We start from the raw sequence: 16,713 nt of genomic DNA, 5'->3' as shown, positions 1-16,713 counted from the left end.
AACAATGATAGAACAAAATATCTTCTAAAAATCTGCTATAATAGAACAAGAAAGGAAAAGAAAATAGAGTACATGGATGAAGGCACTGATGGTTCCTTGCCTTTAAGAAATTTGGCACATTCAAAAACAACTCAGAAGACATTCCAGATTCCAGTGCATTTTCAGGCCACTATGGTGCCCTCAGACTGGCCAACAAGTGGCATTGAATACAGCAGAGTCTGTCATTTATCTATTTGAACTTGGACAGCTTTCTTACATTTCTATGGTTTGTTTGTTTTACTCTAAGACAGACATAGTAATATAGACTAATTTTTACAGGGTCTTGAAAAAGAAATAAAGTAATGTAAACATACCCAAACCACATGATAATAAGTGCTATGAGTTCACATCAAGATAGCATGAGGTCCAAAAATTATCCTTTGGTACTACTATACAAATGTGTTGGTTAAAGTGAATCTTTGGGGCAAGGTGTGGTGGCTCACACCTATAGTCCCAGCACTTTGGGAGGCCAAGGCAGGCGGATCACTTGAGGTCAGGAGTTCGAGACCAGCCTGGCCAACATGGTGAAACCCCGTTTCTACTAAAAATACAAAAATTAGCTGGGTATGGTGGTGTGCACCTGTAATCCCAGCTATTTGGGAGGCTGAGGCAGGTGAATCACTTTAATGGGGAGGCGGAGGCTGCAGTGAGCCAAGATTGTGCCACTTCGCTCCAGCCTGGGTGACAGAGTGAGACTCTGCCTCTAAATAAATAAGTAAATAAAGTGAATCTTTCGGTAATCTTTGTTTGAATTATTAAATGTTTTTGTTTTGTAAATGGAGAAATTTCCAGAAAGTTTTTCATGATGCAAGTTTTATTTTGCACCTTTTTTGCTTATCCACTACTCAGTGTCAGAAACTATGTGCTATACTTTTAGCAAGTGTTTGAAATTTTTTGTTTGCCTTAAGATGACGACCTATGCTTCACACTGATAGTTTCTTTTTAAAAAATGGTTTGACTCTCACTGAAGTTGAAGCTCTCTCATGCCTGCTTTATCATTTCTGTATCATCATCTGCAGCGTACTATCGTTTCATTAATTCTGGACCTTGAATTTTGGCACATTCACCTCAAAATATCAGCTAGCCAGTGACCTCCTTATGTCAACACTGACAACGTGTAGAATTTCAAAAATAAGAATGAATGTTTGAGTTTCATATTGTAGTCAGCCTATGTCATCTGAATTCTATCATATGAAATCGGTTTGGCTCATTCAGAATACAGATTTTTGTCTTTTCTTTGTACTCATTAATATTAGGTTTTTAACCTTTAATGTTAAGTTCTACATTCCTTTAAAATAATGTGTTTATTCTCTATTAAATATTATATGGCATTAACCTGCCATGGGCCCACCAGAAATGATTACAGAGATCAAATATTTAATCCACTGGTTCCTGGCCATATTTTGGTATCATGGAAATATCAGAATGACTCAGTTTCTATCAGAAGTTGGCAGACATTTCAAGTGTACAAACTAAATAATTACATAAACTATTACAGGCTTTAGGTACCTGTACTAAGTATCTGTATTCAAATACCTCTATATTTGAGGTTGTTTTCTCCCAATAAATGTATATAGAACTCCATTTACTCTGGCTAGAAATTACTAAGTCAAAAAAGAATGGGATCTTTATATAAAATCAGACGTCTTAGCTCTTGTATATTTTCCCTTAACAAAAATGGAAATGTTTAACATTAACTAATATCTATATGCTTTAAAGAGCAAGGGAAGATAGTGTTAATTTCTGACAGCTTAGTAACTTAATACACGGAGGTTAAGAATCTTTATCCTAGAAGCCTTTCCTTCTCTCTCAAGACTGGATACTCCATAGATACTCCTTCTATGGGCTCCAGTTGCTCTTTTATCAGAGCACGTAGCATTCTATATTGTTAATTGTAACAATCTAGGGGAATGCAATCACCTAATTATATGATTAACTTCAAGGGTTAGTATGCCTTCTTCTCTACTACCTAGATCCTAGCAGCATTCCTGGCATAGAGTAGATGTTTAATAAGCATTTGTTGAATATACAGACACATTATGCAGGAGCTGAATTGGTCTTGATTATTTTCTTAGAATGCTTAGTTTTATTCACCTATATAATAAATTTGAGGCTTAATATATAATAGAAAGAGAAAAGAGAAGAGCATAAGACGGGAAGAAATTACTGTGTTGTTTTCATATACAAGATAAGTAAAACAACGTCACAGTGATAAGTTCACTGATTAATTAGGATTTGGGATATTACTTCTTTTCTAACCATGTAAAATGATAGAAGAACATAACTCAGGGGAAAGAAGAGCTCTAGAGGGGGAAACAATATATATATTTGAATATATATTGTTTAGTTTTATTATATATTTTATACATATTTTTTTTAAATACTGCCTCTGGCACTTATTAGTTGGGTGACTTGGGGAAAGTAAATTCCTTGACCCTCAGAGATCTTTGTAAATTGATATATAAATCACAGAGTTATAAACATAAGGTTTAAATGAGGTAAGTTTTCAAAGCTCTATTTCTCAGATTCCTCATCCAGAAAATGAGTTAAATGTTTCATGAACTTTAAACCCTTCCCAGTTGGAACTTTCTATGCGCATGTTAAAAGCAAGAAGAGGCTGTGTGTGGTGGCTGATGCCTGTAATCTCAACATTTTGGGAGGCCAAGGAGGACCACTTGAGGCCAGGAGTTCAAGACCAGCCTGGGCAACATAGTAAGACTCTTGTCTCTACAAAAAAAACAACCAATCAAAAAAACAAACAAACACAACGAAACAAGGAAACACTTATCTGGGCATGGTGGTGTGTACCTCTAATACTAGGTGCTTGGAAAGCTGAGGTGGGAGCTTTGCTTTAGCCCAGGAGTTTGGGGATGCAGCAAGCTATGATAGCTCCACTGCGCTCAAGCCTGGGCGACAGAGTGAGATACCGTCTCGAAAAAAAAAGGGGGTGTGGGGGAGACTGTAGAATCAATCTCAATGAGTGACTGAACTCACTCTTTACATGAGGGTCAGCTCTATTGATCGCAGAGCCATGGTTCCCAACCAGAGAGCCACAGACACTTGGAGGCATGGGGGCAGGGGGTGAGGTATTACAGTATATCCATGAGGGCACTGAGTATTGGACCAGGTTAAAGAAATAAGCAAGCATATAACTGTATGTGATACTTTTTCAGTGATGTAGACACTGATGTATTAAATAAAATACATAGTCATTTAAAATCTTCACCTATATAACAACTATATAATTTAAAAAATATATGGATACATGGCATTGTAAGACCATAATTATAAAATGTGAGAAGCCAATACATGTATATGTGTCTGTGTGTGTGTTAAAAAGTTCTGGGCTGGGCACGGTGGCTCACCCCTGTAATCCCAGCACTTTGGAAGGCCGAGGCGGGCAGATCACCTGAGGTCAGGAGTTCCAGACCAGCCTGGCCAACGTGGTGAAACCCCGTCTCTACTAAAAATACAAAAATTAGCCGGGCGTGGTGGCAACCGCCCGTAATCCAGGCTACTCAGGAGGATGAGACAGGAGAATTGCTTGAACCCAGGAGGCGAAGGTTGCAGTGAGCCAAGATGGCGCCACTGCACTCCAGCCTGGGCAGCGAGAGCGAAACTCCGTCTAAAAAAAAAAAAAGAGAGAGAGAAAAAAAGAAAGTTCTTTTTGTCATATAATTTTGGAACTAATGTTCCAAAACTTGCCAAATATAAAATTGAAAGCCTCCTGTAAACATCAAGTAAAATGCCTAAAATGGTTCATATGTCTACAAGGGACTGAATGAGAGAACGTATATAATGTGCTAAACACACTGTCTGTTGCATAGTAACTGCTCAACGAATTTCAGTCGTTACCATTATAAAGTAATGAGAAAAGCATAGACTTACATATGTTTACATAAACTTGCTAATAAGTAAAACCAGTTCCCAGCCTAAAATAAAGCCGAGTTGTTTATTCCTTCTTCTAAACGTCCCAATACTCTTCATACCTTGTTTTATCACATCACATTCTGCTGTGATAAGTTAAAGGGCTCTCTTTCCCATCCCCTGTGGTCTTTGACAGCAGAGATTCTATGCTATTATCTTTGCATTCCCAATATATAGTGCTGTACCCAGCACAAATATGAGCTGGATAAATTTTTAATGTAAAATTTTAATTTTTAAATTTGTTTTAATTTTGAAAACAAAACATCATAACATGTCCTAGAATGAATATGCAGAGGGAGAGCTTGTAGGCATAACGGCTCCTAGGGCAGGTGAATTTATATGCAAAGAGCTGGAGAGAGAGTACAAAAGGAAACAAAGTTTTTAAATGGGGGGAAAAGTGATCCTTTGTAAGGGAAAAAAAATACTCAATTTCTTAAAATGAAATCTAACATTAGATTTATGATGTTAGAAGTAAGAATATTTGCATTCTGCTTTATGTTTTATAGAACTCTTTCATGGGAATGCTGTAACATGATAATTATTACTTTTTCTTATTTTGTGCATTAGGAAACTAAATTTTATTAAAAGCTGTTTTATTTCAGGTCATACAACTAGAAATAGAGTTGGGTTTCAAGACCAATGGTCTTCAACAAGGCACAGAGCATACCAAGCATTATGGAAGACTTATCAGTTATCCAAGGATTTTCATGACTTGAAATAAACAGGGCTGAATTTTATCTATAAAATTCTGAAACAACTTAGATTATCAATACATGAAATGAAATTATGGCAAAGTTTCATTTGGTATAGCCTACACTAAGAAAAGATTATATAAGTGGGGGGCTGTGTATGTGGGGTGTGCGTATGTGTTTTGTTTTGTTTTTAATATCCTACTGCTTAGATATATCATGGGTGCAGAGTGTCACTCTGAGCTTATAAATAGGAAGGCAGAAATGAATTCAAGTGTCTTATTTCTTCAGGTAATACGGCAATTGTACTAGTTGGGAAATGAAATATCAAAAAATGGCTTCCAGTTTTAACTAACGAGTCAATTTATATGTATTAAAGCTGTCCTGGGCTTGTTTAAAAGAGAAAAGCTTTATTTTTCAAGCATATGTGCAAAGTTCAGGACCAAAAGAAAGTTTAGTTATTTATCTCTGGATAATGCAGATACAATTAAATGTAAGTAAATGCTAACTATTCTTTAATGAAAATTACAAACATAATTGAACTTCATATTTAACTAAAGGCAGAGTTGTTAGTTAAACAAATGATGTCAGAGCTCCAGTTTTCTTATTCACTTTCTTTAATTATGCTTAGTCTTTTAACACAGGGATTTCCACACAGGTCTCCATTTCATGTACTCTGTAGATTGTATCTTTGCAAACCATTTAAGAGTTTTCTGACTGACAAAATAAAGTAGGCTGGAAGTTTAAAAGAAAGTCATGTCTGGCTTCTGACAGGATCCTAGCTTTAGATGTTTCTATACGGTTTGTATAAATGCCAGCCCTCAAAAAGCTATTCAATCTTTTTTCTTTTTCTTTTTTTTTCTTTTTAAAACTTTCTGACTAGATCAAGACAAGCCAGGACTGTAGAAGTATGACGGGGAATAAAAAGGTCAAATTACACACAAAAGCATTAAGGTTCACTTTTACCAGCATCAGCCAAGGTGTGCATTGACAAGAAAATGTAATCTGACAGAAATTAACAGCAATGATTCAAAACACTGTGTTCACTACAAAATGGGGGTGGGTGGGGTGGGTATTATGCCACAAATGTGGAAACATATGGCCAAATAAAAATTTTTGGCTGGTAAATATATAAAGAAATCTTGAATAATTAAAAGTAATATGGGGAACACATTAATTCAAGAATGATCTCATTCTCAAACCGTTTGTTTCAAAGATATGTTAAGACATTTAAAGGACTCCAAAAAGTGATGAATTAATTCATTAAAAATGACATGAGCAATATTAAATGATAGAATTATAATAACAGGAAGAACATGTTGGTAATTCTATGGGTAGTTCATTTACTTGGAAAAGTATAGCATCCCTGGCTGGGCACAGTGTCTCATACCTGTAATCCCAGTGCTTTGGGAGGCTGAGTTGGGAGGATAGCTCGAGGCCAGAAGTTTGAGACCAGCCTGGGCAGCATAGCAAGACCGTGTCTTTACAAACGATTTTATATATATGTGTATATATATTCAATTATATATAAATATGTAAATAATTTATATATAAAATTATATAAAATATGTAAATAATTTATATACATAAAATAAAAGATTTTCTGGTAATATGAAAATTGTACTAGCTGGAAAATATAATTATGTTTATATATACATAAAATCTATTAATACAATTTATATATACTATATAAATATTTATATATTATACATATTATACATATATAGCATTCTTTCGTTACTTTTTAGTTTCCATTTTCCTGTCAACACATCTGAGAATAATGAATCATTAATCTAGAAGGTTCTCTCTATGGAAATTTCAAACATTGAATTTAAAACTGTAAGCTATACCCCTACAAGGTATTTTGTCATAGCAGCCCAACAGCAACAACATAAACCAGTTGACGATGGCTCTTACCATCTCCTGGATCAACGATCTCAACAGTGGCGACTGTGGGGAATTCCAAGGCAGCCAGCACGGGCTCTGAGAGTACCACCTGAAAGGTTTCAGACTGCTCATGCTCCCCATCACTCAGGATCCGCACTCGCCATGTGGCCCTGGTCTGGCCTGGGTTGAACTGCACTTGTTTCTGTGCTTTGCCCTTGAAGTCTTTGTCTTTTTCTGCAGTTCTGTCTCTTGTGCCAATACCTTCACAAAAACATAATATCATTTTCTTAGTTTCATTTTCGCTTGGATTATTAAGATTTTCCTTGTTAACTTTTTGCATGTCATTTTATCCTGAAAAGCAAAGTTGATCCTGCTTTGACCTCATGAAATGGAAAATTGGGAATGGGTCTGATGATGAAAGTGTTTCACTGTAGGTGTTGGGTAGTTTGTGATTCTGTTCTGCTTTTGCCTCAATTATGGTTTTGCTATATATGCTTTAAGCTACATTTGGATTAGAACTTCTTGTCAAACAAGACCAAGTAAATGTATATTCACATTGTTCAATATCCTTACTCCTACAAGTTATACAATCTTAAAACTCTTCACATTTACTTTTGCATGTGTTCCTGGATATTATAAAAAAAATAAGAAACATTCTCTAACTATAAAATATAAGCCAATAAGAAACTCCTCCATGAAAGAATTCTCTGACTCACAATCTAAGTCATAAATGGCCAAGTGGAATAATAAAAAGTGATAGTATTCTCTAAGCACTTAATGGAACTAAGATCCTTTAAAAAATGTAATTCAGTGTTTTTCAACATGGTCACTGCAAAATTTTTCTTTCTGGAACACCCCAGAATTCCATGAAATTAAATAAACAGAATTGGAGAGCTAAATATATATGGTTATTATGAGCAGTATGCTTGGCTTACTCTGGTAGTTCATTCAAGGTCAATTTCAGTTAGCTGGGAAGGTTGAAGGATCTCTGGGTCTCTAACTACATCGCAAGATGATCTCCATTATTACCATGCCAGGTACTCAAACCATAGGGTACATTATCCAAAAGCAGTGAAAACATTCAATGTCATAGAAAAATTATAAAACGGCAATGGTACTTGGACTTCTATATCCTTAAATACAGAACCAGAACCTCTTAATGAGTCAAGTTAATAGAATAATTTTCAAATATATTTCTCTAAACCTGAGCATTTTCAGAGAAGTGGGTAAGACAGACAGATGTAAAAGAGTTGGAAAAATAAGGCTGGGCATGGTGGCTCAGGTTTATCATCCCAGCAGTTTGGAAGGGCGAGGTGGGTGGATCACTTGAGCCCAGGAGTTCCAGACCATCCTGGGAAACATGGTGAAACCCCATCTCTACAAAAAAGACAAAAATTAGCTGGGTGTGGTGGCGCATGCCTGTAGTCCTTGCTACTGGGGAGGCTGAGGTGGATCACCTGAGCCCTAGGAGGTCAAGACTGTAGTGAGTTGTGATTATGCCACTGTGCTCCAGCCTGGGTGAGTGAGAGCCTGCCTCAAAAATTAAAAATACATAAATGCATAAATAAATAAATAAAAGAGGGAAAAATAAAGTCTTGTGATAGATTTTTTAAATCTTGAAAATAAGTTATTTGGAAGATTTTGCATTTAGTTAAAAATTATACTTTTGAAAAATTCCTTTTGTTCTTCAAACTAGAAATGAAACTGAACTAAATAAGATCCATTCAACCACAAATATTCATTGAGTACTTATTCCATGCCAGGCTCTATTCCATGTGCTGGGGCTGTATCAGAGAACAAAACAGACAAAAACTCTTGCCTTCGTAGTGCTTATATAAGAGTCATTTGAATATGTATTTATATATAGGAATATATCAATGACTGTTATTTTAATCTTAAAGTGAAGATGAAAAAGATTTTATTAAAAATATTTCTGTCTTACAGATCTCAGAACAATAACTAACATAAATATTGCATCATATTTTTCTTTTACAGTAGCAGGTAAAACATGATTCATTTAATGGCAAGAGAAAAAAGGGCACAGAACCAGGAATTGCAGGGCTGCATATCTTGTTGAATGCTGTAGACTTCCTGACAGCTCTCTGGTTCCTTGTGCACACAGAGTTGGTTGTCAGCACCTCTTGGATCCACTACAATTCACTGCCAAGATGCTGATGAAAGGAATCATTCTCTCTGAGGTTCCAGAACACATGCTGCTCACTGACCCATCTATCCCCAGTGGCATCACCAGCAAAATCTGTTAGTTTGCCTCTGATAGCTACTGCTCACTTTTCTGTTTTGTTTTCTTTCATCAGCAATGCATTATTTGTTTTTTTTGGAGTTTCAAAAGGGAGTTAAAAATAAAAATTGAGTAAGTGTGATACAATGAATGTCTGCTAGTTCCAACTAGTCCTCCTTCCTGCACGATAGTCAAGCCATCTAATATTAAATGAGTTGCAATACCATCTGATATTAAATGAGTTGCAATACCATATCCCAATTGTTGCTGCTAAAAACACCTATAATTTTTCACTTTTGTTATTAAATGAAACTGCAATTGGATCTTTTCCTCTGACATAGAAAAATAACAAAGTGGTTAAACAGGGTGTTTGTGGAAGGAGAGAATAGATTTTATATCCCATCCAGGCCATATAACAGTTGTGGGATCGTAGGCAAGTTATTAACTTATCTCAGTGGAGGATTTATGAAGCACTATGGTGCAGTGATTAAGAGCATGGGCCTTTTGCCCAATCTCAGCTCTGCCCCTTACTAGCTGGCTAACTTTAAACATGTCACAGCCTCTCTATTTCCTCACCTCATGGTACTCTTCTCATGGAGTTGACCTAGGTAGGGTATTGGGAAGTAGGCCCAGCAAATAACTCAATAAACATTAGCTATCATTGTTTCTTCATAGTTCACTACCTAACACAGCCCCTGGTATGTAATGAGTACTCAATAAAATATTTGTTGAGTCAGGGAATAAAGGATGGATGTAAGGTATAAAAGAGATAGATAAAGTGCTTAATGTACGTATGAAGTACCTTGCCTTTAATAAATATTCAATAACTGGTAGCAATAAGAGCTTTGAAATGCATATACTAATGTGGAATATAAATACATATCTAGTTTATTAGTTTTAGTGGTTATAAAATGAATAATAATCTTTGAGAATATACATCTACAAATTTCAGTAATTCATGGTTTCTTAGCTGTACTCAAGCGATACTCTGTCTTTTGCTATAATGCAATCTATCTCATTCTAAAAGTCCATAAATAAAAGCAGAGGTTGTATGGGCACAGTTATAAGCAACGTATTCATTGTAAAACTTGTATGAGGCTACCCTTCATTTTAATCTGGTTTCCATTCCAGGTCCTAGCATGAATTCCGTTACCATCTTCAATGACTGAAGGATGTGGGCCACACACAGAAGGCTTCCCAATTTTCTATCACCCCAGGTTACTAAGTAACCATGTGAAGTGAACCAAGTAAAGCCTATGAGCCTTTGTAGAACTGCCGTTAACCCCACATTCGTAGAAAATAATAGTGCATTGAAAAAAATAACAACAAAAAGAGCTCTTGTTTGACATTTTGGCATCCAGCTTAAGAAAAAAGAGGCAGTGGAGAAAAAAAAAGGCAAAAAAATAATTTTACAATCTTTTTCTACTGTTAACTTTCCCAATGTTATCCAGGGGCCTGTTGTGAGTGAAAAATTAAATAAACTCACCAGGAGTGGGAACTCAGGTAAAAAATAGATAAACCTATTTTTAATAATCGGTAAGGTGCTCTGTTTTTTAGTTATCATTTTCCCCATGATTTATTTGCTATATGTTCAAGTACAAAGCAGAGTTAAGACGAATCACTCCCTGATGATAAGACAGGATGTGCACATGTGCACAGAGAATATGTCCCTAAAAGAGAGCGCAGTGAGAGTGCTCAGAATATCCTAGGCTAAATACAAAGCATGAGAAGCACAGCCAGGTGGAGGCTCATGCAAAATGAAGATGGAAGCAGAGGCTGGGGGTGAGGCCGCGGGGAGACCAGCCCCCCTGCAACCAGAGCAACCTCAAAGACAGGGAAAGTGTCGTGTGAAAACCTGGTCTTCTAAAGTTAAAAGGAAAAAAAAAGAATTTTAAAAGTAAGGGGTAATTAATATTCAGAATCAAAACATGTCAGGGGAAATCAAAAAGAGTGGTGGGGTTCTGGCTGCAGCAAAATTACAGCGGGATGTGTGGGGGTGTCAGGGAGGGATGTTGGGGGTGGCAGGGGTGTGTATTTCTGTGCATAGAGGTCTACTCTTTGAGGATCTGGAAGTTCATGGACCCAGTAAAATTTCAAAATAATCATTTGGAGACAAGCATAGGTTTACTAACTTTTTACTTTGCCAACATTTTCCCAGATTGCCACCTTAGTTGATAATCTCACTCAATGAAATCTCTTTTTATCCCATGCAAATTCCATTGGTCTAGATGTCTATAAAATATATGGTACCAAAAACAATATAGTTGCTTCAGGTGCTGCCATTTTTATCAACATATTAAATATTTTGTGCCAACCATATTGCTGCTTAAAAGTACCAATATACTGCCAACTTTATTTTATGCTTCTATGAAAATCAAATATGAACTTGAGGCCGGGCGCGGTGGCTCACGCCTGTAATCCCAGCACTTTGGGAGGCCGAGGTGGGCAGATTACGAGGTCAGGAGATCGAGACTATCCTGGCTAACACGGTGAAACCCCGTCTCTACTAAAAATACAAAAAATTAGCTGGGTATGGTGGTGGGCACCTGTAGTCCCAGCTACTTGAGAGGCTGAGGCAGGAGAATGGCGTGAACCTGGGAGGCGGAGCTTGCAGTGAGCTGAGATCACGCCACTGCACTCCAACCTGGGCAACAGAGCGAGCCTCCGTCTCAAACAAAACAAAACAAATATGAACTTGAATTGGAGTTGAAAAAAGGTTTCATTCGTTTGCTTCTGACTCTTAGTTTTATTTAAACGAAGTAAAGCAGAAGAAAATCATTAGTATTTAACAATTTACTGTTGTTACAAAGAAAGGTCACGATACTCATGTTTCAGAAAACTTTTATCTTACGGGTAAATTACAGATTTGCCTAAGCTCATTCTAAGATCTAGTGACATTTATTTTTGTTTCGTAACTTATTAGTGTTCCTGCCAATTTTTATACCAGAAAAAGATCATATGTACACAGAAGGCTTGAAGAGATAAGTACCTTGACACAAACCTGTTGCTTGTTTCTTTAGCAGTTAGAGAACTTTTAAATTTTAACTTTAAGCTCTAAGTGAACTAAACTGATACTTTAATCACTGTAGAATTATAAACCTTTGCTAGAAAAATAAAATTTTAAAACAGAAATAAAAAATTAAACTTACTTATAAAAGAAGTTTCTCCCAAGTAACCTCTACGTTTAAGAACAACATCTAGAAATTTGGAGTCCTCATTGACCAGGTAATATTCCTTTTCAAAGGAGATCCATGCCCAATTCAGACGAAAATTCTGGTACGTTAACTTGTTTCCACCTTGAAAATAAAAATTTAAAGCCATAAATTAGTGCTTTCTTGAATGAGTGATCTTCAAAATTCCACAGATTACTTTAATGAAACAACATTAACAATCAATACAGCTACTTAGTTTGATACACAACTCTGGAATATGTACATGGAGATACAGCTTACAGTCTAGAGACTGTTACACATACATTCAATCGCTGACATAATTCTTCACAAATTCCTTGCTGTTTTAGGAGGGGAAGTAGGTAATGGGTAGGAAGTGCACAACTACCAGAGGCTATTTAGTTTAATCCTAAAACTAAATATCCAACTTGCAGGATAACTCACTTCCCACAAGGTGCCACTGGAGAGCAAGTTTTCTAATCAGAGGGCTGCAAGGCTCCTTTGTGATGTTCTAAAAAACACACACACAACTTCACAAATACTTTTTCCGGTTCACAGAGCAATTGGGTGGAAGGTTTTAATTATAACCACTTAAGGAAAAACAAATATCCCTTCTCCGCCTCCCTTCCCCACTATATTCCACTCCATTCCTTAGAGCAAACAGACAGTTCTTTTCATTGATTTCCATTCCACTCTGAAGATAAGGTTTTCCCCTTCCATCTTCCCACCAAAATGGAGTGGGCTGCCTATCAGCAGAAAATAAACCTTGTGTGTGATCTCTCTAATGTGAAAGCGACTATGTTGGGTAAATGAAAGGAAAAATGGTTATCAGCTGATCACTCTGCACGCATCCCTCTACTTCCTTTGATCTACACCAATTATTTCAGAGTAAGGTGAGGTTTACAAACAAAGGCATCAGTAATGCCTTTTAAGTCTTTCTGAAAGAGGGTGTAAAAAAAAAAAAAGCCCAAGTAACAAACACAGCTAGAGGCACAGTTTTCATTCTAGTTTCTTCTCTTTGCAGTTCACATAGAAAAAGAAATGAAAGAGGAAAATCTCAAAACTTTAATAGACGACAAAAAAAAAATCTACACAAGGGAAAACGCTGAGTGAGCGAAGACATGAAAATACATTCATCTTTGCTCGAACTTTTAAAAAATAAAAACTGCAGCAACTTTGAGCTATCAACTTAACAGGTACTAAAGATTAAAGAGAATACCTTGTACAACTGAGATTATGTAGGGAAATTGTTTTCTTGTTTACTGTTGTTTGGCTTTCAAATTAGCACAAGCCTTTTGGACAGCTATGTGCCAATGTGTGCAAGGGGCAAAAAGATGGTTATATCCTTCAATCTTGTCGCTCCTTCTGTGGGATTTTTGCTTTAAGAGAAGCAGAAATATATTTGTAAGGAACTATTCATTGCAATATTTTCTATAATAACCCCAAACCTTAAAAACTATCTTATAGTGTATCAAATCAATAAAATGTTATTCAACTCCCAAACAATAAATATGAAATTGTTGTTGGAACACCGAAAACACTTAAAAACACAACAACAAATGGTACTGATACTGTGAATGTAGCTTCGTAAAATGAGACATGATACAGGAGAAGCTGCTTGGTGTTTTAAATGATGGGATTATGGACTTTCCTATTTTTAGTTAATTTATCAACTATAAAATATAAATAGATTGGGGCCGGGCGTGGTGGCTCATGCCTGTAGTCTCAGCACTTTGGGAGGCTGAGGTGGATCACCTGAGGTCGGGAGTTCAAGCCCAGCCTAACCAACATAGAGAAACCCCGTCTCTACTAAAAATGCAAAACTAGCCAGGCATGGTGGCGCATGCCTGTAATCCCAGCTACTCGGGAGGCTGAGGCAGGAGAATCGCTTGTACCCAGGAAGCAGAGGTTGTGGTGAGCCAAGATCGCACCATTGCACTCCAGCCTGGGCAACAAGAGTGAAACTCTGTCTCAAAAAAAAAAAGATTGGAGAGCAGGAATTTTGTGTCAGTTTGTCCGTTTAACAAGGAAACTCATTCCACATTTTGCGCTGATGAAACTTACTAAACTTACTATGCCCAATGTCTGCTGCACCCTGAGTGCTGTTCTGGAGAGGAGAGGCCATGGGCTAGGAGGCTCCTCAGAACTGGAGTCCAAGGCCCACCCACATCACTTCTAGCTGCTGTCTGACTCTGACCAAGTTACTTCTCTGGATCTCTGTTTCCTTTTCTGGAGAGTCAGGTGAGGGTGACGCTAATTAGCGCCTGTGATTTCTTCAAAGATCGACTCAGGTAACCCATACACACACACAGTGCTCTGAGGTCAATAGTATCATTCAACAAATGCAAGCTCACTCTGCCCTGCCACGCCACGCATGCCCAAGCCCACCCTGCATGCCCACTGCTGGACTACTATTCGTCTGCCTTACACCCACCTGTGCTCCTTTCTCCTTTGCCCCTCTTGCCTACAGCTTTTGCCCATATCAAGTGGACTTTTCTTTGCAGATTTCCAGGTTCATCCTGACCTACCCTGATTGTTCCCCTTGCACTCTAATCTGCCCATTTGGAGGTCAAGCCAAGATTCTTGCAGCTCCTGGGATTTGCCACCCTCACTCTTTCCATCACCCTTGTCCTCTTGCCTAAAATGAGGACCCCTATTCTTCCTTGGCTGACACTTTCCATTCCTTATTGCTGCTCTATCCCCCTCCTGTGTGAAGCAGCTGCAGCTGCTCCAGCCCTTTCATGTCTTTGTGGTTCTGCAGCTGTTCTCTTATTGATTACTCTGTATAGTTGTGCACTTTAGTGGGTATCCTCTCATATTTAATTGTATTAATTTACTAATTGTACTAAATTGTACTAATTTACATCAATAATTGACAGTATCCATTCTTTCATTATTGCCAATACTTGTTCTCATTGTTTTTAAAAAATATTTTAAAAAATTATTGTGTTTACGTTCCATTAATTGGAACATCATCTAGAAAGTAATAGAAAAGATAGAATAACATGCAATTGATTAAATTAGTACATAAAACAGCTCTGATTTCAAAACAAATTATCAGATGAAAACACCTTTATGCCACACTCCTGTCCACTTTAAACTGTGGTCCCAGCAAGCCTAGGTTTCATTCCAAACTTCTTGTCATGCTCTACCAAGCTTTTTCTTGTCCATTCTAACACCTATGACTTCACATCCTATCACTTCCCCTTAAAGAGAAATATCCATCCTCTCACATCCAACCTCTCACTCTTTTCTGAACAAAGGTGGCTGTTTTTGTATGTGCTGTATCTTCTGCCCAGGACATCCTTAGTTTTTCTCCTCTTCCTGGGAATCCCTATTCCTCTAAATTTTAACAATTCTTAGCTAATTTTAAGATTTGATTCTAACCCTTTCCTGAGATATTCCAGAAAATATCATTCTCTTCTAAATATGGCACATTTTAAGAATATTGAGTCACTGAGGGCTTCTCTTTTCAGTTTTTATAAAACAGCAAGCCCAGTGCAAACTCCAGCCCTCTCTACCCCTTTATTCTGGTTAGTTTTTCTCTACGGTACTTTCCAAAATCTTATATCCTATATATATTTACTATTTTTTTTTTGTCATTTTCTGTGTTCTCCCACTGCAACACATGATCCAGGAGTTCTGGGAGCTCATTTAACTTATTGTTAGAAAAACATCTATTGCATCAATTAGAAACTCTAATGTCTTGGCTGAAAGTTTAGTGGTCCTTCATTTATTGAGCAACATAAATTTTCTATGTAAACATAACATATCTCTTTCATTACTGAATCTTTTTATTAAAAAACAGTAATTGGTTTAATGACACTCTTTCTAAAATGTTTGCATACTTCTTGAAAGATTTTAAGTGATACATAAATGTGAATTATTGGAATTTGTGTTTCTCTAAATGACACTCCCAGGGATTATTGATGACTAAAGGGCTATTTAACCCTTCCACTTCCTTTGTGGATGGTTTTAGAGATACCTAATTTCATCTCTACTTATATATCTGTAAAAATTATTTTCAGGTTTGTGCCTATGTTCTGAAAGGACGAAGTTGCCAGGTTACTGGTTAATCAGAGGTTTCGAATGACACATAGCTGAACAGTTTGCTAGTATTTCATATGTACAACCACCACCTTGAGATTTTACTTCAAAATAAAATTCAGAAAAAATATAAAGAAGCTTTGCTTTGTAAGACAGGGAGATGGCCCAAAGTAACTATCATAGAAAATTTAGAATTCCCACTAACACTGGGATTTTAAACCAGAGAATATAAATGAAACAGATACTTAACTAGAAAATATGCAGTCTATAAAGCTTAAATCTGAATGGAATTAAATACTACATAACTCTTCTGTACATTACACATGTGAATCAGATTTGGTTTCAGAATTTGTAAAATCTTAGGTACTCACTTCTTACGCAAGAGTGATATAGAGATTTGAGGAACCAAGCTGTAACTTATTGTAACTCTCTTTACTAAAACTGTGACCTTGTATAATTGAACTCTGTATTTTATTGAAAGAATAGAAAGATACCTTATTTACTAATTTGTTACCTATCACGTAAACTCCTCTAAAACCTCAATTCATGGAAATAATAAACATTGGCACTTTAACAAAAGCTACAGCTTACTGAACGTGAAATTATAGATGAAGTTAAATAACGTTAAAAACTGACAAATTTTTACTTAAACAAAATTTGTTGCCTTTCTAAAATAGATTCTGTCATCTATGGTGCATGAGGAGCTAGTCTCAGC

The 16,713-nt window shown here is 36.7% G+C and overlaps 1 protein-coding gene across 3 annotated transcripts in view; it reads right to left on the bottom strand.

Annotated features, from left to right (window-relative positions):
- The window catches only part of FREM2 (FRAS1 related extracellular matrix 2), a 200,055-nt gene that overhangs the window by 110,751 nt on the left and 72,591 nt on the right, over positions 1-16,713 (bottom strand). For 2 of the 3 annotated variants that reach the window (XR_941571.3, NM_207361.6), the window contains exons 3-4: positions 11,931-12,077; positions 6,573-6,803 (exon numbers count right to left, since the gene is read on the bottom strand). Coding sequence is in view for 2 of the 3 variants with exons in the window: in NM_207361.6 (NP_997244.4) it covers positions 6,573-6,803; positions 11,931-12,077 (378 nt within the window). In the remaining variant the exon portion in view is untranslated. Of the gene's footprint in view, positions 1-6,572; positions 6,804-11,930; positions 12,078-13,170; positions 13,331-16,713 lie in introns of those variants that run through there. The other variant, XM_017020554.2, reaches the window with a different exon arrangement.

The sequence above is a fragment of the Homo sapiens genome, chromosome 13 (assembly GCF_000001405.40).
Source record: "Homo sapiens chromosome 13, GRCh38.p14 Primary Assembly".
Lineage (NCBI taxonomy): Eukaryota > Metazoa > Chordata > Mammalia > Primates > Hominidae > Homo > Homo sapiens.
This window is presented reverse-complemented; position numbering and strand designations above follow the sequence as displayed.